The sequence below is a fragment of the Homo sapiens genome, chromosome 19 (assembly GCF_000001405.40).
Source record: "Homo sapiens chromosome 19, GRCh38.p14 Primary Assembly".
Taxonomy (NCBI): domain Eukaryota; kingdom Metazoa; phylum Chordata; class Mammalia; order Primates; family Hominidae; genus Homo; species Homo sapiens.
The window spans coordinates 4495495-4518914 of NC_000019.10; the positions used below are offsets into that span (position 1 = coordinate 4495495).

The 23420-nt window shown below is 60.2% G+C and overlaps 2 protein-coding genes across 16 annotated transcripts in view; one reads left to right on the forward strand and one right to left on the reverse strand.

The window, feature by feature from the left end:
• The window catches only part of HDGFL2 (HDGF like 2), a 29911-nt gene extending 23198 nt beyond the window's left edge, over nt 1-6713 (forward strand). For 4 of the 7 annotated variants that reach the window (NM_001001520.3, XM_047439547.1, NM_001348169.2 and 1 more), the window contains exons 10-16: nt 808-911; nt 2464-2537; nt 2812-2882; nt 3320-3421; nt 3997-4210; nt 5697-5823; nt 6417-6713. In NM_001001520.3, the coding sequence (NP_001001520.1) occupies nt 808-911; nt 2464-2537; nt 2812-2882; nt 3320-3421; nt 3997-4210; nt 5697-5823; nt 6417-6516 (792 nt within the window). In that variant the 3' untranslated portion in view covers nt 6517-6713. The remainder of the gene's footprint in view (nt 1-807; nt 912-2463; nt 2538-2811; nt 2883-3319; nt 3422-3996; nt 4211-5696; nt 5824-6416) is intronic. The other 3 variants (NM_032631.4, XM_047439548.1, XM_011528377.4) reach the window with 1 other exon arrangement.
• On the reverse strand, nt 6698-22992 carry PLIN4 (perilipin 4). 9 transcript variants are annotated; one of them, XM_017027193.2, is made up of 9 exons: nt 22944-22992; nt 22728-22795; nt 22060-22204; nt 21123-21184; nt 18363-18545; nt 14952-18210; nt 13274-13461; nt 9367-9453; nt 6698-9291 (listed from the first exon to the last, which is right to left on the reverse strand). In XM_017027193.2, exons 2-9 carry the CDS (start codon nt 22776-22778, stop codon nt 8965-8967), a joined length of 4302 nt encoding a protein of 1433 aa, XP_016882682.1. In that variant the 5' UTR covers nt 22779-22795; nt 22944-22992; the 3' UTR covers nt 6698-8964. The 9 variants fall into 9 exon arrangements, with proteins under 9 accessions (XP_016882682.1, XP_016882683.1, XP_011526535.1 ...); XM_017027194.2 differs by having other exon boundaries at nt 22909-22992; XM_011528233.3 differs by having other exon boundaries at nt 14952-18207; nt 22891-22992.
• Between the last annotated feature and the right edge of the window lie 428 nt (nt 22993-23420).

Here is a 23420-nt window from a genome sequence, read left to right on the forward strand (position 1 = left end):
CAGAGGACTGCGCCTGGCGTGCTGGAGGAACAGCGAGGTGGCCTCTGGGGCTGGAGTGGAGGGAGGAGGGGAGAGAGGGAAAAGGAGGGCGGTGGGGAACGGACAGAGCAGGCCGGGTAGGGCCATGTGGGCTGCAGGGAGGATTTGGGCTTTGACCCTGAGGGAGGTGGGAGCCATGGAGGGCACTGGACAGGGTAGGGACAGGCCCTCACTCGGGTGCTCTCGGGTGCCCTCTGGCTGCCATGGGGTACAGCTTGCAGGTGAGCGTGGGAGCAGGTAGGAGGCCTCCTAGGGTGGTGACTGTCAGGACTCTCCTATACCACGTGTGGTGCTGCGGGCCCTGTCACGCCCTCTACCCTTGTGGAGATTCAGGCAATGTGGCCTGAATCCAGAGTCTCACCTAGACTGAGTGCCTGGGGCCCACGTGCTGGTGCCCCTCAGCCAGGCCTGCCTTCTTTGGGGAAAGCACGAACAGCGCCGTGTTCTCTCTCTGTCACTCCCTTCATCACAGAAAGGGCACCGAACTCCTGGTGCAGGAGGCGTTTCAGCCACAGCCCAGGACTGCTGGGCAGGAGGAGTGAAGGGGGCTGTTCCTCCACTGAATGGGGCCTGGGCTCCAAGAACCCCACGATCCACTCAGGACCGGACACTGGGTCCTCCCTCCTCTCCCATCCTGCCCCAGCACCTTCAAACAGTGTGGAGGGCGACAGAAAGGGTCGAGCTGCATCTCCTGGTAGTGGGATGGGCTAGGGGTCTGGGTAATCCCCTCTTCCCACTGCTCCAGCGCGCCCTTCCTGACTGCTATAGGCCAAGAAATCAGCGAAGAAGCCGCAGTCCTCAAGCACAGAGCCCGCCAGGAAACCTGGCCAGAAGGAGAAGAGAGTGCGGCCCGAGGAGAAGCAACAAGCCAAGTGAGCCCTGCTCTGCCCCTCCACACCCTGGGGGCCCCGCACCCCGCATCACCCCACAACCCTCACCCCTCACAGGGGCAGCCCCACCTCTGAGTTCAGCCTTGGAGCCGGACCCGGTTGAAGTTCCTGGTCCTTGGGTTGTGTGGGCTGCGTAGGAATCGCTGCTGCGGGAGTGGGATCTTTGCCCAGCCCAGGGGTCTCCTCCAGGGCGATCCCGCCTCCAGAGACACGGCCACGTCCGGGGACATCTGTGGTTGTCATGACTGGGGGGTGCTCCTGGCATGGAGCGGGTGGAGGCTGGGGACGCTGCTGAGGGCCCTGTAGTGCCCAGGATGACCCATCCCAGAGAACAGTCCATCCCCAATGTCCACAAGCAGAGGAGGAGGGAGAAACTGCACCCCGGCCTAGGGGTTTGCATCTTGGTCCCCCTGTGGTGGGCAGACAGAGCCTGTCTCCCAGCTCACTTTTTTTTTTTTTTTTGAGATGGAGTCTTGTTCTTGCTCTTTTGCACAGGCTGGAGTGCAATGGCGTGATCTCAGCTCACTGCAACCTCCGCCTCCCGGGTTCAAGCGATTCTCCTGCCTCAGCCCTCCCGAGTAGCTGGGATTACAGGCACCCGCCACCACGCCTGGCTAATTTTTGTTGCTTTAGTAGACACGGGGTTTCATCATGTTGGCCAGGCTGGTCTCGATCTCCTGACCCCGTGATCTGCCCGCCTCAGCCTCCCAAAGTGCTGGGATTACAAGTGTGAGCCACCGTGCCTGGCTGCAGCCCACGTTTTTGTTTTTGTTTTTGTTTTTTTTTGAGACAGAGTCTTGGGCTTGCTCTGTGGCCCAGGCTGGAGTGCAGTGGCGCCATCTCAGCTCACTGCAACCTCTGCCTCCTGGGTTCAAGCGATTTTCCTAGCTCAGCCTCCAAAGTAGCTGGGACTACAGGTGTGTGCCACCACACCCGGCTAATTTTTTGTATTTTTAGTAGAGACGGGGCTTCACCGTGTTGGCCAGGATGGTCTCTATCTCCTAAACTCATGATCCCCCCGCCTCGGCCTCCCAAAGTGCTGGGATTACAGGCGTGAGCCACCGTGCTTGGTCCCCCAGCCCACTTTCTAAATGGCCTTGAGTGGGCAAACCTGCCCATGAGAATTCGGCAGGCCGGTATGGCAGTGGCGGGGTACAGAGCAGCACATGGCACCGAGCCTCAGCAATGGGCCTCTCTCCTGCACGCGTGTCACCCTTGAGGGCCTTTTCCTAGCTCGCTGACTCTGGTAGACAAAGCCAGCCCTTGGCCATGTGAACGAGGAAAAGAATCCTGGGATTTCATGAGAACTCGGGAAAAGGCTTGTATCTTTGGGCAGCTCGAGCCTGTGGCTGCCCTGGTCTGCCCTAGGCCTAGGCTGTGGCAGGGCCTCCCCGCCTCCCGTTTCCCGGCTTAGCTCCCAGGGCCTCCCAAAGGTTTCCTTTGCAGTGGGTTTGGGTCCACCCCTTCAGGCGCCAGCCCCTCAGTGGCAGAGTGCCGGTGACGGGGCCCGACTGAGGGGAGCACTTCTCCACAGGCCCGTGAAGGTGGAGCGGACCCGGAAGCGGTCCGAGGGCTTCTCGATGGACAGGAAGGTAGAGAAGAAGAAAGGTGAGGCCTGGCTGCCCAGCACTGCCCACACTGAGTTCACTGAGGGGAACGGGGACAGCCGTGGCGTGGCTGGCCTGTCCCGCCTGTCCCTAGAGAGGGTGCTCAGCACATCCTCGGCCGGCCTGGCCGGCGGTGCCTCCAGGGGTGGGGGCTGAGCCTGCAGACCTGGGGCCCCCATGACAAATCCTCCAGAGGCTCTCAGGCTCCTGCCCTTGAACAGCTGGCCCCCTGTGGCCCTGCCTGGGCCCACACGGTGCTCTCTCTCCTGGCCCAGAGCCCTCCGTGGAGGAGAAGCTGCAGAAGCTGCACAGTGAGATCAAGTTTGCCCTAAAGGTCGACAGCCCGGTAAGACCCTCAGGGCCTGTGAGCCAAGCAGTCCCCGCTGCCACCTCCCTGCCAGGCTCCCTTAGATGTCTCGGGAAACTGAGGCAAAGCCGGGGTCCTGCAGTTGGGTGGGCCAGGAGTCTGTTCCGGTTGCTAGTGAGCGCATGGGGTCTCCTGGCCAAGGGCCCTGGGGGAGCTGGTCCTGACATGCAGCACCCAGCTTTCCCGGCAGGTGGTGTGTGGAGGCCCCCAGGACCAACCCCCACGTACCTGGGACCCCAAGTATCTGGCTATCCCTGGAGTTCCCCGTCAACTGGACGGGGGCTGAGGGGAGCTGTTCTGCAGATACAGCTCCCCTCAAGGAGAGCCCAGGATGTCTTCCTCCACCCATCGGGGCCCTGGGACCCCTGGGGATCCCTTGGCCAGGCCGTCTCCCTCACTCCCACCCCACCCTGCAGGACGTGAAGAGGTGCCTGAATGCCCTAGAGGAGCTGGGAACCCTGCAGGTGACCTCTCAGATCCTCCAGAAGAACACAGACGTGGTGGCCACCTTGAAGAAGGTATGGCGGGGGAATCAGAGGCGCAGGGTGCAGTCGGGGGAGCTGGGAGCAAGTGCCTGCCCGGGAGCCCAGGCCCCCAGCAGGTTCCTGTCGGGACAGCCCTGGGTCAGCGAGGAGGCCGTGGGCTGCTGGGTAGAAATGCCTGGTGCTTGCCAGGAGTGGTGGCTCACGCCTGTAATCCCAGCACTTTGGGAGGCTGAGGCAGGCGGATCACGAGGTCAGGAGATCAAGACCATCCTGACCAACATGGTGAAACCCCATCTCTACTAAAGATACAAAAATTAGCCAGGTGTGGTGGCGCACGCCTGTAATCCCAGCTACTCAGGAGGCTGAGGCAGGAGAATCGCTTGAAGCTGGGAGGCGGAGGTTGCAGTGAGCCGAGATCGCGCCACTGCACTCTAGCCTGGGTGACAGGGCGAGACTCTGTCTCAAAAAAAAAAAAAGAAATGCCTGCTGCACAGAGCTGTGCTCCCGGGAGGGGCTGCGGGAGGGGCGCATTGCTGGGGCGAGGGGTTCAGAGCCGGGGCTAGGGCCGCTGCACTTGGGTGAGCCAGGCCTCTTCTCTTGGTGGCCAGATTCGCCGTTACAAAGCGAACAAGGACGTAATGGAGAAGGCAGCAGAAGTCTATACCCGGCTCAAGTCGCGGGTCCTCGGCCCAAAGATCGAGGCGGTGCAGAAAGTGAACAAGGCTGGGATGGAGAAGGAGAAGGCCGAGGAGAAGCTGGCCGGGGAGGAGCTGGCCGGGGAGGAGGCCCCCCAGGAGAAGGCGGAGGACAAGCCCAGCACCGGTGAGGGGCGGGTGGGGTGGGCCCTGTACCTCAGTCTCCTCAGCTGAAGAAACAGATGCTTTGCAGAACATTCCAGAAGGGGAGTACAGCTCTACTCTCTGCCCCAAACCTGCCAGAGTGTCATGTCCTGTTGGGGTCTCCGTGCAGACCCGGCTTTAATCCCTGGGGCAGCCAGTGAGGGGCATTCAGGTCCTACCGTGTGCCAGGCAGCCAGCATGCAGGTAACTTGGGGCTCACGCCAGAGGGGTGACGGGGACAGTGCATGACAGCACACGCCTCCACCGTCTCCCACCCTGGGACGCCCAGAGAGGGGGGTGGCTCTGTGCAGCGGGGGCAAAGAGTGGGGGCATTGTTCAGAGAGGCAGTCGGTGGAGGCTCGGGGGCGGAGGCCTCAGGTGCCCTTGCTTGCCTGGTGGGCCGACAGGAGATGAGGTGTGACCCTCGGGGCTGCTGGCTGTGGGGCTACTGGGCTGACATGGCCCCATTACAGGTGCTCAGAGCAGCCCTTTGGAGATGGGATGGGCGAGCTTGGGATGGGGCTTTGCGGCCCAGGGGGCAGCCGAAGGCTAGTGTCTTTTTTTTCTTTTTTCTTTTTTTTCTGAGATGGGGTCTCGCTCTGTCCCCCAGGCTGGAGTGCAGTGGTACAATCACAGCTCACTGCAACCTTGACTTCCTGGGCGCAAGCCATCCTCCACCTCAGCCTCCTGAGGAGCTGGGATTGTAGGCCTACACCACTATGCCCTGCTAATTTTTTTTTTTTTTTTTTTTTTTTTTGAGACGGAGTCTTGCTCTGTCCCCCAGGCTGGAGTGCAGTAGCGTGATCTTGGCTCACTGCAAGCTCCGCCTCCTGGGTTCACGCCATTCTCCTGCCTCAGCCTCCCGAGGAGCTGGGACTACAGGCACCCAACACCACACCAGGCTAATATTTTGTATTTTTTAGTAGAGATGGGGTTTCACCGTGTTATCCAGGATGGTGTCAATCTCTGGACCTCATGATCCGCCCTCCTCGGCCTCCCAAAGTGCTGGGATTACAGGCGTGAGCCACTGCGCCCTGCCAGGACGTGCTAATTTTTGTATTTTTTGTAGAGACAGGGTTGCTGGCATGTTACTCAGGCTGGTCTTGAACTCCTGGGCTCAAGTGAGCCTCACGTCTCGGCCTCCCACGTGCTGGGATTGTGAGCCCCCGTGCCCGACCTTGTCTTCCTTTGTCTTTCCCAGGCTGCTGTGGGCTTTTCTCAGGGCTGCCCACGTTCCCTCATTTCTTGGGCCCCCAGTTCTGCAGGCCAGTGTGGCTCGGGCTGGGGCTGGCTGCAGCATCCCATGTCAGGAGCTTGCAGACTGGACAGCAGGTGCTGGGGTCCAGGTGGATGGGCATGTGTCACCCACGGCGCTCAGCTTGGCCCCTGGTCCAGTCCTTGACAGGCAAGGGTTCTGGGGTGCCCAGCTGGAGCCCAGCAGTGTCCTGTGACCCCTCTGTCCCACCCAGATCTCTCAGCCCCAGTGAATGGCGAGGCCACATCACAGAAGGGGGAGAGCGCAGAGGACAAGGAGCACGAGGAGGGTCGGGACTCGGAGGAGGGGCCAAGGTGTGGCTCCTCTGAAGACCTGCACGAGTGAGTGTCCCGGGCCGTGGGGTTTGGACTCCTGAGCGGCAGCGGTGTGACGCGCACCCTGGGTCCGAGCCGCTCCTCCTGTGCCAGTCCCTCTGGGATGGGTCCCAGGGATGTCGTCCTTACTCGGGCCTCCCACCTTCACAGCTGACCCCAGGGCCCCGCTGGCTGGCACTTCCGGCGGCCCCTACAGAGAGGCAGCTCCAGGGCTTTGAGCTGCCTGCCCCTGGCCTCCTGGGAAGGTGGCTTCTTGCCGAGCCTCCAGGGTGGCCCAGGTAGGTAGGCCCCGAGCACGGGCACCCGGCTATCTGACGGTGCCTGTGCCCATCACTGTGGGCTGCTGTCTGGTACAAGGCTCAGTGGAGTCACTCACTTACCCAGCAGCTGCCTTGTGCTATGCCTGGCTGGCGCCAGCGTGGGGACCCTGGAGATGGTTGTGGTCTCTAGTGGCAGAAGACAGGCAGATAGGAGGGCGGCACTCGAGCCTCAGGTGCCACAACGGGGGTACACTCCTCGGTGCCCATCCCACCCAACCGCCCTACAGGCAGGGCAGGGGCGGGAGGGCATCCTCACACCGCCTTTGCTGTTCCCACCAGCAGCGTACGGGAGGGTCCCGACCTGGACAGGCCTGGGAGCGACCGGCAGGAGCGCGAGAGGGCACGGGGGGACTCGGAGGCCCTGGACGAGGAGAGCTGAGCCGCGGGCAGCCAGGCCCAGCCCCCGCCCGAGCTCAGGCTGCCCCTCTCCTTCCCCGGCTCGCAGGAGAGCAGAGCAGAGAACTGTGGGGAACGCTGTGCTGTTTGTATTTGTTCCCTTGGGTTTTTTTTTCCTGCCTAATTTCTGTGATTTCCAACCAACATGAAATGACTATAAATGGTTTTTTAATGAAAAAAGAAATCACTTTTATTGGCTTGGTTTTCTAGCATTGCTGGTGCAGTGGGGGCCTGAGCTGGGGCGCAGGCGGCAGTGTCACTGGGCCCGTTTGGGACTGGGTTGAGCCATCAGGCCACCGTGAGAAGCGACTAAAAGGCACTCTGGGCCCAGCCCAACCCTGAAAGGCCAGTGGCAGGAGAGCTGGGCGGGAGCAAGCTCTTCCCAGGAGACAAGAGGGACAAACCAGGGCATCTAAGCTGTGCTGCCTGCGCCCTGCCCCGCACCCACGAGGCTGGGGGGTTTGATGCTTCCTGCATCTGGCAGCCCAGGGTCCAGGCAGGTGAGCAGGTCCGATGTGGGGAGGACGAGGGTCCGCGAGGCTAGGCTGGGAGGGTGGAGACCAGGCCTTCCCTGAGAGCCGCTGCTAGCCGACAGTGGTCTCCAGCGTTCAGGGAGCATGGGCCTCAGGGGCCAGCCTCGACTCACCCCAGCTGTGTCACCCACACACCGTGTGACTTTGGACAGGTTCCCCTCCCACTCGGGGCTTCTCTTTCCTCCTCTGCATAAGGGGCTGTCACGTGGGCACGGTCCCAAGCAAGTCACCCCGTGCTCCGAAGTTGCTCATTCCACAGTGGCGTCTCGTGTTTGTCGTCCTGCCCAGCGTAGCCGAGTTGCCTCCGTCCCAGTAAGAATTAGGCTGTGGTGTGGCGGGAAGGGACTTCCTGAGCTGCGGCCCCATGCTTGGTTGGCTGGACGTGAGCTGCAGTCACTGTGCCTGATTTCTGCAAATGGCTGTGTCTGGCATCCTAGCCTCCGATGGCCATGGGTGTCGGGCTGAGGAGAAGGCTTGGGAAGGCTCCTGACCCGTCCCCTCTCACGGCCCGTCACCTGAGGCAGTCCTTGCCGTGCCAGCTTCCCCGGTTCAGAGCTGAGCTGAATGCCCCGGCCCCTCACGGCCCCTGGTGCACACGGTGACCCCTGGGGCCCCTCCACCCTTCCTCCCCCTGGGTCTGGGGTTCCTGGGCTCGTGTCCTAGGAGAGCATGGAAAGGGGACGACAAGGTTCTCTTACCGGGTGAGTGGGGATATGGCTTCCTGGGGAGGCCGGGCTGAACGGCTCCTCCCCGCTGGACTGAGCGCAGCCACGGCACGTCTCACACCCGACCTGAGCCTGCCAGCCTCCACGACCTGGGCTAGCCTGAGAGCACGGGGCCCGGCGGCCGGGTCCGCCACCACCAGTGTCTCTGATGCCTGCAGCCTCCCCAGCCCCGCTTCCTCTGCAGCCCGGCGCTTGGGTGGGCCTGAGGACCCAGGGGGAGTGTGCGGCGGAGGAAGGGCTGTGCCATAGGCACGCAGCCTCTGTGGCTGTTCCCAGCCCTGTCTGATCCCTCCATAGGGCACAGTTCCCTGCGGGGAAGTCCTTTGTCTGTGTTCTCCAGGGGCAGCTGCTGGGCCCAGCCTCCCCAGGGGCCTCAGAGCCCCAGGTGCCTGGGGCAGGCCTGTGGTGGGCAGCTGGAGGCAGCAGCAGCCTGTTTGCTTGTTTTTTGCACCCCCCACCCCCTGCAAACTGCTCAGTCTCAAGCCAGGCTGGTGCAAAGCCCCAGCTGTGGCTGCTGTGGCTCCTGGCAGCTTTGTCCCCACCGTGAGGCCACCCCGGGGGTCAGCAAAGGCAGTAGCAGCCTGCCTTGGGATGATGATGGCAGTGTCGCTTTTTCTAGTACTTTCTACTATGAGGGAATGTGGTTCTTAAGACCCTCAAGGTGTGTGTGCTAAGGCCGGAGACCCACTTTCAGCATGAGAACGGAGCTGCCCGGAGCCTGGGATGCCACAGCACTGCCTGCACCGCTGATAGCTGGGGGCCCGTGCTGCAGGACTGGAAGAGCCCTGCTAGATATAAAAGGGTTGCTAGCGGGGCAAACAGATGCCCTTCCAGGCTGGGCACGCTGCTTTTTCTCTTTCCTAATTGCAGTGCTTGCTTGGGGACTTCAAGGGAAGGCTCTTGGCTGGTGGTCTGAGTGACCCCAGGCTCCGAGAGGGGCAGGCAGCGCTGGGGAGGAGGTGGGAGATGCAGGCAGGCCCGGAGCAGGGCGTGGGGTGGCTCAGTTAAGAAGGTCACTGCCTCCGCAGCCCCTCGGCGCTCAGCCAGCTGCAGCCCCAAAGGTCTAGGGCTTTAGGGAACCGATCCAGGTTTGGGGGCGGGGAGAAAGTTCTGAGGCAGCTCCTCCCTGGACAGAGCAGGGCGACCCCGCGCCGGGCCTGCAGGCTCCTACAGCTACTGCCCGCCAGCGGGCAAGGCGAAGGGCCCTACCAGCCAGCTGAGCGGGGGATTGTGCTGTAGGCCCTCCAGCAGCTGCTCTAACCCCTGCCAAGCCTGGTGCACACCCTCGCGGCTCTGCACCAGCCGCTCTGCGGGCAGCTCCTCTACAGAGCCAGCTGAGGCCACGATGCCATAGAGCTCACAGAGGCTGTGCCGCGCCCGCCCCACTGGCTGCTGGAGCTCGGCGGGCAGGCCCTGGAGGCTGGAGACCAGGCCACTGTAGGCCGTGTGCAGCTGCCGGAGAAGGCCGCAGACCCTGGACAGAACCCCGGCATCCCGCTCCTGTGGGAGGAAGGCGCAAGGTGAGTGGAGACCCATGGGCGGGGTGGGGGGACCCTAGCCCTGTGCCAGACCCACCTCCTGGACAGCAGCGTCCTCCGCACTGGCACCTGAGCCCTGGTCCAGACGTGGCTGCCCTTCTGGAGCCTGCTGGGCCTTTTCAATCTGGAGAGAGAGTACAGTGGGGAAATGATGGCTTCTTGGCAAATGACCTTTCACAACCCCCACCTCCCCCTCCCCCAGGGACCTGGGCACATTCACAGTCCTGGGAGAAAGGCCACGAGTTCCAAGTCAGTTGTACCACAGTGGGCGTGTTGTCTTGCAGAAAGAGGCAATAGTTCAAACTTCCCCATGAGGTCATCAGGGAGTGCACGTAACACAGTGTCTGTGGGGTCGTGTCACTCCTCACCCCTAAACCTGTGGCTGCCCAGTACCCTTAAGATAAAACCCAGCTCCTCACCATGGCCTTGGTGGGCTGGCCCCTGGGACACCTCTGGCCTCATCTCCCATGGCACCCCACTGCTGTCTCCACTGAGGCCACACTGGCTCCATTCTGCCCTCCGGCCACTCCAGCAGGCTTCTGCCCCAGGGCCTTTGCACACACTGCCCACTCAGCCGGGAGCCTGCTTCCCGGGCCCTTCACAAGGTCCGCGTTCGGCCTCAGCTCCAGGTGACCCTTGGTGAGACCTTCCTGGCCCATGGTGTGGCAGCCCCAGTCCCTCCCGTCACATCTGCCCCTCTCCTCGGGAGCACAGCGTGCGGCTTTGGTGTTCATTGACTTGGTGTTTATCCGCCCCTGGCAGGGGAACACTCAGGACTCTGTCCTCGTTGTTGCTGTGTCCCCAGCACGTGGCACCCACGCCCCACCCTGTCCACAGGGCCCCATCTTCCTCATCATCTCAATGGCTGGTAGGGATGCGGCACGCCGTCAAAATATCGACTCCAGACTGCTGTCGCCCTCCCAGCCCTCGCCGCGCCAGTGCTGGAGACCTGAAGCCAGCTGCATATGCAGACGCGTCCCCTCGGTGCCCACCAGGCATCTCCCCTCACCCTGTCCAAGGCCAGGCTCCTAATATCCACTCTGCAACCCGCCCGGCCTCCCCTCAGCCCCCCTGCTCTCCTTGTCTGCTCAGGTTACAAGCCTCAGGGGTCTCTTGGGGTCTTCTCTCACCTCCCACATCGGACCCGGGCAGCTCTGACTTCGAAACACCCAGAGCCCAGCTACTTCTCACCACCACAGCGTGACTCCTGAGGCCCGGCAGCACTTGCCTGGGTTTACGTCCCACTGTCTCCTCTGGCCCTCGCCCCCACCCGGTGGCCTGACCTCCCCCATCAGAGTGATCCTTTTAAATGAAACCCACCTTGGATCAGGCCGCTCCTCTGCCCAGAGCCCTCCAGGGCTCCCAACTCCCTTGGGGTCGAAGCCCAGGTCCGGCCCAACCTGCCCCATCCCCTCCTCACTCGGCTCCAGCCTCCCAGGCCTCCTTCCTATTCCTCCAACATGCCGGGACAGTCCTGCCCCAGGGCCTTTGCACGGGCCGTGCCCTCCGCTCAGATCACACTCCTGCCCATTCTGACGCACTCCCTCTCTGTCATTTAGACCTGACTTCAAGTGTCCCCTCTTCAGGGTGACCAGCCCCAGCACAGCCACTTCCTTATCCTGGTACATGTTCCATTTTCCAAGCATCATCCAACGCGACGCCCTATATATTCATCTGTGAATTGTCTTCCCCAACCATGGCGCCCCCCACCCCCCAAGGGCAGGCCTGGATATCCAGGGTCTTCAGTAGCACTTAAAGGAACAAGTGAGACATGATGAGTCACACACCACATCCCATTTCCCAGCCCAGCATCCTTCACGTGTGGCCCTGAGCAAAGCTCTTCTCTTCCTGTGGCCTCCTTCTCCCCTTCTGAAGAGTGCCTGGGCTGAGTTCTGGCCCAGGCTACTTTGCTGTGAGGATTCAAAGGTGGGAAAATGCTTTGTGATCAGCCGCTTGCAGCGTGCTGCGAGGGTGGGCCCATTCCTTCATTCCTCCATGGCGTTTACAGGAACGCCTTCCAACTGCGCCATTGTACCGCGTGCCAGAGGCACGGCAGCGACTGTGCATCTGGGGGTGGCCACAGTGACATGAGGTGTCCTGAGGGTCCCTAGGACAGACTTGCCCTTGGCACTGTGGACACGGGGGCTAGATGGTTCTCTGGGGTGGGGCCACCCTGGGCACTGCAGGGTGCTGAGCAGTGTCCCTACTCTCCACCAGGGGCTTCCCCCAGTTGTGACAACCACAGATGTCCCCAGACATGGACTAGTGTCCCCTGGAGGCAGGTCATCCACACTGAGAACCCTGGGTTAGACCCTCAAACTGCGGCTTGTCACAAACCCCGGATGTTGATGGAAAACACAGTGGCCTAGGCTGCACGCCAGGAATCCTGACCGAGGGCGGCATCTCAAGGTTTCTCACGGCCCGCCGGGGTGGGACTGCTGTCCACCAACATGTAAAACCTGTGACTGCTGGGCACGGTGGCTCACGCCTGTCATCCCAGCACTTTGGGAGGCCAAGGCAAGAGGATCGCGGGAGCGCAGAAGCTCAAGACCAGCCTGGGCTACATAGGGAGGCCCCATCTCTACAAAAAATTTAACCAGGTTTGGTAGTGTGCACCCAGAGGCTGAGGCAGGAGGATCACTTGAACCCAGGAGTTTAAGACCAGCCTGGGCAACATAGCAAAATCTAATCTCTACTAAAAATACAACAACAAATACTAAGCTGGGCGTGGTGGTGCATGCCAGTTGTCCAGCTGCTTGGGAGGCTGAGGTGGGAGGATCTCTTGACCCCAGTAGGTTGAAGCTGCAGTGGGCCATGATCAAGCCACTGTAGTCCAGCCTGGGTGGCAGAGCAAGACCCTGTCTCACTGTCTCCAAAACATAAACCCCTAGAGCAGTCCTGTGAGATTTCTGCCTCCCGGGCTGCACAACAGCTTCTAGAGGAAATGTTGGCCCTCAGGACTGGGGACGGGGAGACTGGAGGCCAGGGACGCTGCTCAGCTCCCTGCAGGGACCAGGATGATCCCACCCCAGAGCACGATCCGGCCCCAACGTCCACATTGCCAAAGGGGAGAACCTAGGCCAGAGGAAGAGAGCGGGGCCAGTGGGAGGGGTGGACGACTCTGGCCAGGGTGCATGACCCCTGGATGCATCCGAGTCATGTTGCGTTGGGTCCTTTCCTGCGTGCGTTGCAGCCCCAGGCCCTGCGGGCTCCCTGGATCCCATCCTGGCTTCACTTTACCCAGCCACAGCGCCGCCTTTCCATTCCCCGAACACACCCAGCTTGCTCCCCGGTAGCTTGCTGTCCTGTCCCTGCTTTTGGGGGCTTTGCAGAGCTGTCTCCCCATCGGTCAGGACAGGGCCCAGAGGGACGGCCTTCCTGCCCAGCCCACATCCCCCTCTGCACACAGATTGTTTTGCTGTCTTTGTGTCCCCACCGTCTTTATTTTTTTGAGACAGAGTCTTGCTCTGTCGCCCAGGCTGGAGTGCAGTGGCACCATCTTGGCTCACTGCAACCTCCGCCTCCCGGGTTCAACCTCGCCTCCCAGATTCTCCTGCCTCAGCCTCCCAAGTAGCTGGGATTACAGGCGCCTGCCACCACTCCCAGCCAATTTTTGTATTTTTAGTAGAGACGGGGTTTCTCTGTGTTGGTCAGGCTGGTCTCGAACTCCTGACCTCAAGTGACCCACCCGCCTCGGCCTCCCAAATTGCTGGGGTTACAGGCGTGAGCCACCGCACCCAGCCTACCCGCTGTCTTTAAGGATCTGATCTAGCTCCGTCCCCCTTGCCAGGAGGCAAGCCCCATGAGTACAGAGCCATGACCATTGGTGACGCTGACAGCATCATCTCCTAGGTGCTCAGTCAGTATCTGCAGCTGGGTGAGTCCTGGGCAGGGGTTCTAAGAAGTGCCCTGGGGACGGGGCAGCAGCAGGGGGAAGCTCTTACCAGCCTGAAGCAGTCCTGGAGCTGGGCCAGAGTGTCCCTGGCTTGGAACTGGCCGTGCTGCAGGTGGCTCACCGCGTGTTCAAATGCCCGCTGGCGGAAGCTGGGACCCAGGTCACCTAAACGAACGAAGTAGCTCCCCTGTTCCGCCGACAGCACCTTTGGCCCAGGCTGGGAGGCAGCCAGCTGAGCTGGAAAGGAAGGCGCACCGCTCAGTCCCGGAAGCCCCTCAGGGCATCAGGGCTTTATAAAAGTCAAGTGAGGGCCGGGCGCGGCGGTTCCCGCCTGTGATCCCAGCACTCTGGGAGGCCGAGGCGGGCAGATCACGAGGTCAGGAGATCGAGACCATCCTGGCTAACACGGTGAAACCCCGTCTCTACTAAAAAAATACAAAAAATTAGCCGGGCGTGGTGGCGGGTGCCTGTAGTCCCAGCTACTCGGGAGGCTGAGGCAGGAGAATGGCGTGAACCCGGGAGGCGGAGCTTGCAGTGAGCCGAGATGGAGCCACTGCACTCCAGCCTGGGTAAGAGTGCGAGACTCCGTCTCAAAAAAAAAAAAAAAGTTAAGTGAGGCCAGGCGCGGTGGCTCACGCCCGTAATCACAGCACATTGGGAGGCCAAGGCGGGTGGATCACCTGGGATCAGGAGCTCGAGACCAGCCTGGCCAACATGGTGAAACCTTATCTCTACTAAAAATATAAAATAATAATAATTAGCCGGGTGTGGTGGCGGGCGCCTATAATCGCAGCTACTCGGGAGGCTGAGCAGGAGAATTGCTTGAACCCAGGAAGTGTGGAGGTTGCAGTGTGCTGACACTGCCACTGGACTCCAGCCTGGGCGACAAGAGTGAGACTCTGCCTCAAAAATAAATAAGTAAAAATAAAAGTCAAATGAAGCTGGGTATGGTGGCTCATGCCTGTAATCCCAGCACTTTGGGAGGCTGAGGCTGGAGGATCACTTGAACCCAGGAGTTTGAGACCAGCCTGGGCAACATAGAGAGACAAAAAACATACAAAAAAATACATAGCCGGGCATGGTGGTCCTAGCTACTTGAGGCTGGAGCAGGAGGATCACTTGAGCCCGAGAGATTGAGGCTGTAGTGAACGCACCACTGCACTCCAGTGTGGGTGACAGAGCAAGACCTTGTCTCTAAAAAAATGAAAAAGGGCCAGGTGCTCTCACGTGTAATCCCAACACTTTGGGAGGCTGAGGCAGGAGGATCGTTTGAGCCCACAAGCTTGAGACCAGCCTGGGCAACACAGGGAGACCCCCATCTGAAACAAACCAAATAAATACATTTTTAAAAAAAAAGTCAAGGGCCCAGCTGGGCGTGGTGGCTCACGCCTGCAATCTCAGCACTTGGGAAGCTGAGGCGGGCGGATCACGAGGTCAAGAGATCGAGACCATCCTGGCTAACACGGTGAAACCCTGTCTCTACTAAAAATACAAAAAATTAGCCGGGTGTGGTGGTGGGCGCCTGTAGTCCCAGCTGTTTGGGAGGCTGAGGCAGGAGGATGGCGTGAACCCGGGAGGCGGAGCTTGCAGTGAACCGAGATCACGCCACTGCACTCCAGCCTGGGCAACAGAGCACGACTCTGTCTCAAAAAAAAAAACAAAACAGTCAAGGACCTGCTAGCAGCTGTGCCTGCCTCAGGGACCCATGAACCCAGGCGTCCCCTCACCTTGCTCCTCCGCATTCATGGGGTGGAAGATGTCCCCCAGCCCCTCCAACTCATTCTGCAGCATTGCCAAGCGTGGGGCTTCTTCGGGGCCGTGTGTGGTGGCCAAAAGCCCCGTGTCCTCCCTGCCTGGGGCGGCCCCTTGGGTGAACGTCGCCACGTCAGTCGCAAGGCCCTTGGTAGTGGCTGCGGCTTCCCAGGCAGGCTCCGGGCCTACACTGAGCACATCCGGGGGCGTGGAGATGCCAGAGAACGGGGCCTCTTGGGGGCTCAGGGCAGTCTGCTCCCCACCATTGTCTGTGGTCCTGGAACTGGTGAGTCCACCCCAGGAGGTGGCGGGGGTACTAGGTAACCAGTTCTGGAAGGTGCTGAGGCCAGTGTGGGTGGCCCCTGTCGCCACGTTCCCTGACCCCATGAGCCCAGCGGACACTGCGTCTTTGGTTCCGGTCAGCACTGTCTTGGTGGTGTCCAGGCCCCCCTGGACGGCCCCTTTGGCCATGCTCATGGCACCGGTAACCCCACTGAAGACAGTGTCCTTGGTACCCATAAGCACAGCCTTGGAGGCGTCCACGCCGGTCTGCACGGTTCCTTTGGCCACATTCACTGCCCCCGTGACTCCAGTAGTCACTGCATCCTTAGCGCCACTCAGCACCGTCTTGGCTGTGTCCACACCTGTCTGGACGGTCCCTTTGGCCACATTTACGGCACCAGTGACTCCACTGCAGACGGTGTCCTTGGTACCGGTCAGGACAGTCTTGCTGGTGTCCACGCCGGTCTGGACAGTCCCTTTGGCCAAGTTCACAGCCCCTGTGAGCCCAGTGGACACGGCATCTTTAGTGCCAGTCAGGACAGACTTTGTAGTGTCCAGGCCCCCCTGGACGGCCCCTTTGGCCACTTTCGCAGCACCGGTCACCCCACTGCCAAGGGTGTTCTTTGTACCTGTTGCGATATTTTGGGTCGTTTTCAGCCCAGTTTGCACAGCACCCTTGGCCACGTTCGCAGCACCGGTGACCCCACTGCAGACAGTGTCCTTGGTACCGGTCAGCACGGTCTTGGCCGTGTCTACACCCATCTGGACGGCCCCCTTGGCCACATTCGCAGCACCGGTCACCCCACTGCACACAGCATCCTTGGTACCAGTTAACACAGTCTTGGTGGTGTCCATGCCGGTCTGGACAGTCCCTTTGGCCAACTTCACAGCCCCTGTGAGCCCAGTGGACACAGCATCTTTAGTGCCAGTCAGGACAGACTTTGTAGTGTCCAGGCCCCCTTGGATGGCCCCTTTGGCCACATTCGCAGCACCGGTCACCCCACTGCAGACGGTGTCCTTGGTACCAGTTAGGACAGTCTTGGTGGTGTCCACACTGGTCTGGACAGTCCCTTTGGCGACATTCACTGCCCCCATGAGCCCAGTAGTGACTGTGTCCTTGGTGCCGGTCAGCACGGTCTTGGCCGTGTCTACACCTGTCTGGGCAGCCCCTTTGGCCACATTCACAGCACTGGTCACCCCACTGCCAAAGGTGTTCTTTGTACCTGTCGCGATATTTTGGGTCGTTTTCAGCCCAGTTTGCACAGCCCCCTTGGCCACGTTCACGGCACTGGTGACCCCACTGTAGATGGTGTCCTTGGTACCGGTTAGGACAGTTTTGGTGGTGTCCATGCCTGTCTGGACGGTCCCTTTGGCGACATTCACTGCCCCCACGAGCCCAGTAGTCACTGTGTCCTTGGTGCCGGTCAGCACGGTCTTGGCTGTGTCTACACCTGTCTGGACAGCCCCCTTGGCCACATTCGCTGCCCCCGTGAGCCCAGTGGACATCGTGTCTTTTGTACCTATGACCACAGACTTGGTGGTGTCCAGGCCCCCCTGGACGGCCCCTTTGGCCACGTTCACAGCACTGGTCACCCCACTGCAGACGGTGTCCTTGGTGCCGGTTAGGACAGTCTTGGTGGTGTCTACGCCGGTCTGGACGGTCCCTTTGGCCACGTTCACAGCCCCTGTGAGCCCAGTGGACACAGCATCTTTAGTGCCAGTCAGGACAGACTTTGTAGTGTCCAGGCCGCCCTGGACGGCCCCTTTGGCCACATTCGCAGCACCGGTGACCCCACTGCAGACAGTGTCCTTGGTACCAGTTAGAACGATCTTGGTGGTGTCCACGCCTGTCTGGATGGTTCCTCTGGCCAAATTCATGGCACCAGTCACCCCACTGCAGACGGTGTCCTTTGTACCTGTTGCGATATTTTGGGTTGTGTTCAGCCCAGTTTGCATGGCCCCCTTGGCCACATTCGCTGCCCCTGTGAGCCCAGTGGACATCGTGTCTTTCGTACCCATGACCATAGACTTGGTGGTATCCAGGCCCCCCTGGATGGCCTCTTTGGCCAAGTTCACGGCACCGGTCACCCCACTGCAGACAGTGTTCTTGGTGCCAGTTAGGACAGTCTTGGTGGTGTCCACGCCGGTCTGGATGGTTCCTTTGGCCACATTCATGGCACCAGTCACCCCACTACAGACGGTGTCCTTGGTACCTGTTAGGACAGTCTTACTGGTGTCCACGCCGGTCTGGATGGTTCCTTTGGCCACATTCATGGCACCAGTCACCCCACTACAGACGGTGTCCTTGGTACCTGTTAGGACAGTCTTACTGGTGTCCACGCCGGTCTGGATGGTTCCTTTGGCCACATTCATGGCACCAGTCACCCCACTACAGACGGTGTCCTTGGTACCTGTTAGGACAGTCTTACTGGTGTCCACACCGGTCTGAATGCTTCCTCTGGCCACATTCACTGCCCCTGTGAGCCCAGTGGACACAGCATCTTTGGTGCCGGTCAGCACAGCCTTGGAGGTTTCCACGCCAGTCTGGACAGTCCCTTTGGCCAAGTTCACTGCCCCCATGACCCCAGTAGTCACTGTGTCTTTGGTGCCGGTCAGCACAGTCTTGGTGGTGTCCACACCGGCCTGTACGGTCCCTTTGGCCACATTCACTGCCCCCGTGAGCCCAGTGGACACCGTGTCCTTGGTGCCGGTGAGGACAGCCTTCGAGGTGTCCAGACCCCCTTGGACGGCCCCCTTAGCCATGTCCATGGCCCCTGTGACCCCGCTGGACACCACCTCCTTGGTGCCCGTAAGTGCAGACCGAGTGGTGTCCAGGCCTCCCTGGACCACTCCCTTAGCCACGTCCACCACGCTGGCCACCCCGGAGGACACGGCATCCTTGGCCCTGGACATCTTGGAACACACCAGGTCTTTGGCCCCGGACACCATCTGCTGAGAAAGGACACAGGTGGATCAAGAGAAGGACTGAGAGGTGTACTCCACCCCGATGTCTGCCAGCCCAGCCCCCTAGTGTGCTTTGGGGCAAGGAACTGCAGGCACCCAGAGGCCCCACCTCCTCAAAAAGCAAGCTGCTTCCTCCTCACCCCGACCCCGGTCAGCCAGACATTCATCGGGCTGTGGTGTGGCACCCTGGCTCTCCGGGATGAAGTCCTCATGAGCTCACAGCGCCAGCCTCTTCCATTCTCACGCACCCCCTTTCCCGGCTGCAGGCAGGCCTCGTCCATGACAGCATGTCCTAGGCTTGGACTCAGCCAGGGTCCCCAGGCCTGGACTCAACGCAGGTCCTACAGTTACATTTCTGTTCCTCTTGCTTATTCTCCATTCATGGCAAATGTTGAGCCTGGCGTCCCAGGGACACCAGGGAGACTAAATTGCTTATTAAAATCATTATATCCAGGCTGGGTGTGATGGCTGATGCCTGCAATCCTAGCATGTTGGGAGGCCAAGGTGGGAGGATCACTTGAGCCCAGGAGTTTAAGATCAACCTGGGCAACCAAACAAGACCCAGTCTCTACAAAATTTTAACAACTGGCTGGGCGGGGGGCACACCTGTAGTCCCAGCTATTTGGGAGGCTGAGGTGGGAGGATTGCTTGAGCCCAGGAGGTTGAGGCAATAGTGAGATATGATCGTACCACTGTACTCCAGCCTGGGCAACAACATGAGATTCTGTCTCAAAAATAATGATATACGCCTGTAATCCCAGCACTTTGGGAGGCCGAGGCGGGCAGATCACGAGGTCAGGAGATCGAGACCATCCTGGCTAACACAGTGAAACCCTGTCTCTACTAAAAAAATACAAAAAATTAGCCGGGTGTGGTGGTGGGCGCCTGTAGTCCCAGCTACTCGGGAGGCTGAGGCAGGAGAATGGCATGAACCCGGGAAGGCGGAGCTTGCAGTGAGCCGAGATCGCGCCACTGCACTCCAGCCTGGGTGAAAGAGCGAAACTCTGTCTCAAATAATAATGATAATGATAATAATAATAATATATTCAGGCTGGGCACAGTGGCTCATGCCTATAATCCCAGCACTATGGGTGGCTAAGGCAGGAGGATTGCTTGAGCCCACGAGTTTAAGAGCAGCCTGGGCAACGGTGAGACCCCATCTTTAAAAAAAAAAACAGGCCGGGCACGGTGGCTCACGCCTGTAATCCCAGCACTTTGGGAGGCCGAGGCAGGTGGATCACCTGAGGTCAAGAGTTCGAGACCAGCCTGACCAACATGGCGAAACCCTGTCTCTACTAAAAATACAAAAATTAGCCAGGCATGGTGGCAGGCACCTGTAATCCCAGCTACTCTGGAGGCTGAGGCAGGAGAATCGCTTGAACCCAGGAGGCAGAGATTGCAGTGAGCCGAGATCGTGCCATTGCCCTCCAGCCTGGGTGACAGAGCGAGACTGTCTCAAAAGATAAAAAAAAATTAAAAAACACAAAAATGAATGAAGATGATGATGGCCTAGGAGTTCTAACTCTCGGGTGTACCTGTGAGGTGCTACTTTTTTTGTTTGTTTGTTTTTTGAAACAGAGTCTCACTCTGTCACCCAGACTGGAGTGCAGTGGCGAGATCTCGGCTCACTGCAGTCTCCGCCTCCTGGGTTCAGTAATTTTTCTGCCTCAGCCTCCTGAGTAGCTGGTATTACAGGCGTGCACCACCATGCCCAGCTAATTTTTGTATTTTTAGTAGAGATGAGGTTTCACCATGTTGGCCAGGCTGGTCTCAAACTCCTGAGCTCAACTGATCTGCCTGCCTCAGCCTCCCAAAGTGTTGGGATTACAGGTGTGAACCACCGTGCCCGGCCAAGGTGCTATTTTAATTCAGTAGTTTTCAACTGGGTGATTCTGCCCCCAGGGGGCACTGGGTGATGTCTGGAGACATCTGTAGTTGTCACAACTTGGGGAGGCTCCTGGCATGGAGTAGGTGGAGACCAGGGATGCTGCTCGGCACCCTGCAGTGCCCAGGATGGCCCCACCCCAGAGAATGATCCAACCCCAAATATCCACAGTACTGAGGTTGAGAAGCCCGGAAATTGTATTCTCAGAACACATCTCCCAGCTTTGGCTCAGGTGGGCACCTTGGGCCCTGTAGTTGGAGAGACCCAGGTTCAAGTCCCAGCTTTTTACCCTCTCCTGCTCCCGACACTCGCTGTGTGGCCTTAGGCAAGCCACATGCCCTCTCTGAGCTAATATCCTCATCTGGAAAATGCTGATTAAAACAGATCCTCTTGCCAGGCGCAGTGGCTAATGCCTGTAATCCCAGCACTTTGGGAGGCTGAGGTGGGTGGATCACTTGAGGTCAGGAGTTGGAGACCAGCCTGGTGAAACCAACATGGTGAAACCCCGTATCTACTAAAAATACAAAAATTAGCTGGGCATGGCGGTGAGCACTTGTAGTCCCAGCTACTCAGGAGGTTGAGGCAGGAGAATCGCTTGAACCTGGGAGGCAGAGGTTGCAGTGAACTGAGATTGTGCCACTGCACTCCAGCCTGGGTGAAACAGCAAAACTGCATCTCAAAAAATAAAAGTAGAAGAAATAAAGTGCTTACGCTGCTGTCGCTTTGGTCTCATCTTGCCAGGCACAGCCCTGTGTAGACTGGAACCTTACGTGATTAGAGTGGGGTAGCACTGCACCCATTTCACAGATGTGGAAATAGAGGCTCAGAGGGGAAGCTCCGCCTGGGATCCCCAGGCTGTCTGCCTTCCCTCAGGCCCACAGCAGCCCCCCAGATAGCAGGAACTGAAATGTCCCAGGAGGGAGCAGCCCCCCAGATAGCAGGAACTGAAATGTCGCAGGAGGGGGCACCCCCAGGGCTCCTGCCACATCAGACCCTGCCCTGCACATCCTCTCACCTTTTCCGAAGGTTGCAGCTCCTTCTCCGTCCATGGGGCCGTCTGCTCTGGGTGGGCAGCCACTGTGGGGACAGGGGCCGGTCAGGGAGAGTGAGGGATGCAGTTAGAACCATCTACCCGGCTGCCCATTGCACAATAGCCAGGCACAGCCTAAAAGGTCAGGAATGTTTCAGCTACCCCGCCAGGGACAGCAGGAGGTGACATCCACGGCTACCAGCCAGACCTGGTCACCCCCCAACCCCGCTGGGGGCTCCCCCCAAGCCCAGGGCCGCTGTTCCCTGAAGTAGGGCTCTGTGGAACTTCCTCTGCTGGGTGGACACCCACCCTGAGTCCCGGGGTTCATATAGCCTGGCATGGGGGAACAGCCCCTTGCCCAGCCCGCCCCGCCCCCACCGCAGCTGCCTGCTGCCTATTGCCAGGCCAAGGCATGTGGAGCAGAAGTCAGCTGCCTGGGGCTCTGGGCCCAGAGGGAGGCCCAGCTCAGGCGGCTGCCCCAACCCTGGGTTCCCTGTCACCGTCCCTGATCGCCCAAGCTGAGCCACAGGAGGCTGGGGAGCCCCTGGGCTGTGTGACCCCAGGGGAGCTGTTGCTCCTCCCTGGGAGTCTGGATCTCACTCTGATGAGCTCAGATGGGCAGAGCACCCAGCCTGGGCCATGGTGCATCAGAAACGGAGTGCAGGGTGGGGGAACGGCCGAGGGACTGAGTGGGGGGGCATTGCAGGGAGACAGGCTGGGTTGAAAGCCACCTTCGGCCACTCACCCCCCATATTTATGCCTCAGTTTCCCCATCCACCACAAGATGTCCTAGTGTCTGATGAGAGCACACAGACAAATATGGAGGACTCCCCAAATGGCTGGAAGTCCCTGCCCGGGGAGCTCCTTCTCCCAGGTCCATGTGTAGAGTCCCCCCACGCCCCCAGCTGGGCCAGCCACTCACCCTGAGCCTGTGGTTGGGCAGCCTCGGCAGCAGGCGCTCCTGTGGGGTCAGCGGCCGGCCGGGCTCTCGCCGAGCTATGTGCGTTGGCCACCAGGTTCCGGGCAGAGCTGAAGCCAGGCAGGGACCCAAAGAAGCTGCCCAGGGTCTGCATGGGGGCGGGGGGTGTGCAGGATGAGCAGGCCAAGCCTCGGCAGGAACGGGTCAGAGGAAGCATCGATTGATCAGCCCAATGCCGCCCCGGCCCCTTGCTCCTGGGTGACCTCAGGAAAGTGTTTCAGCCACTCAGCCTCAATTTCCACACCTGGGCAATGGGCAGACTCAGCCTGCCTCCCATGCACAGAGGAAAAGATCGTCTACCCGATCTCCAAAGACCTTTTCCTTCCAGGATCCCCACTGCACAGATGGGGAAACTGAGGCTCAGAGAGGGGCGGAGCTGAGGCCGGCCCAAGGTCACTTGCTGGGGAAGGTGTCGAGGTCTGCGTGGGTCCCCCGCCTCCAGCTTGGGTCAGAAAGGAAGGGATTGGCATCATGGCTCCCAGACCGCCCCCACCAGCCCACCAGGGAAGCACCTCTCCAGATTCGAGACCCCAGGACTGTGGAGGTCACCTTCCCCGGCTCTGGGGCATCTCCAGGCCCCAGCAAGAATCTGCCCCATTTCCCCTCTTTACCTTGCCCTTCGGTTTGGGGGGATCCCGTCTCCCTTCGTCTGGAGCAGACATAGTGAGAACGTGAGAAGCTGGAAGGGGGCAGAGAAGGTGCGTGAATGGGGGTTCCCTAGCCTCCCATCCCACACCCACTCCCCACTGAAAGCCTGAGCAGCCCGACACCCACCTGCAGGCCTGGCCTCACCCTGGTGTCACCGAAGCAGACGCGGCCCCGCTCACCTGGACTGCGCGGGGTCCCCTGGAGGACGGACCGGCCCGGCTGGCAGCTGGCTCTACCCTCAGCTCCCTGGCCTTATAGGGTCCGGGGCAGGCGCAGGCCCAGCCAGCAGCGGCAGGCGGCCAATGGGCCCGGGGGAGGTGGCCTGGACGGTCACATGGCTACCTGCCCAGCCCAGCATGGGCCCAGGCCCAGCACCTTTCCCCTGTTTCCTGCCCACAGCTTGCATCAGGCTGAGTGGCTCACAGGCCAGATGGGCTCCCCTCCCGGGCCCCTGAGCCTCCAGTTCCATCCACGAGGTGGGTGTAGTTCAAATCTCTGCTGCACCAGGATGCCTTGGCCAGTTACCATCTTTTTGCTTCAGGTTTCTCTCTCGTACTCCGCACCACGTCCCGTAACATCCAGCTTCTTCTCTGCTCTCATCTCCCCCAGCTTCCTCCTTCGCTTGCTTCATCCCAGCCACACAGGCCTCCTCGCTA

Coding starts and splice junctions, on each gene's coding strand:
- PLIN4 (XM_017027193.2), bottom strand. CDS start 22,778: ATGTCTGCTCCAGACGAAGGGAGACGGGATCCCCCCAAACCGAAGGGC. Junction 21,185..22,059: donor TGCCCAACCACAGGCTCAGG/GTGAGTGGCTGG, acceptor CTGTCCCCACAG/TGGCTGCCCACCCAGAGCAG. Junction 18,546..21,122: donor AGCTGCAACCTTCGGAAAAG/GTGAGAGGATGT, acceptor CGTTGAGTCCAG/GCCTGGGGACCCTGGCTGAG.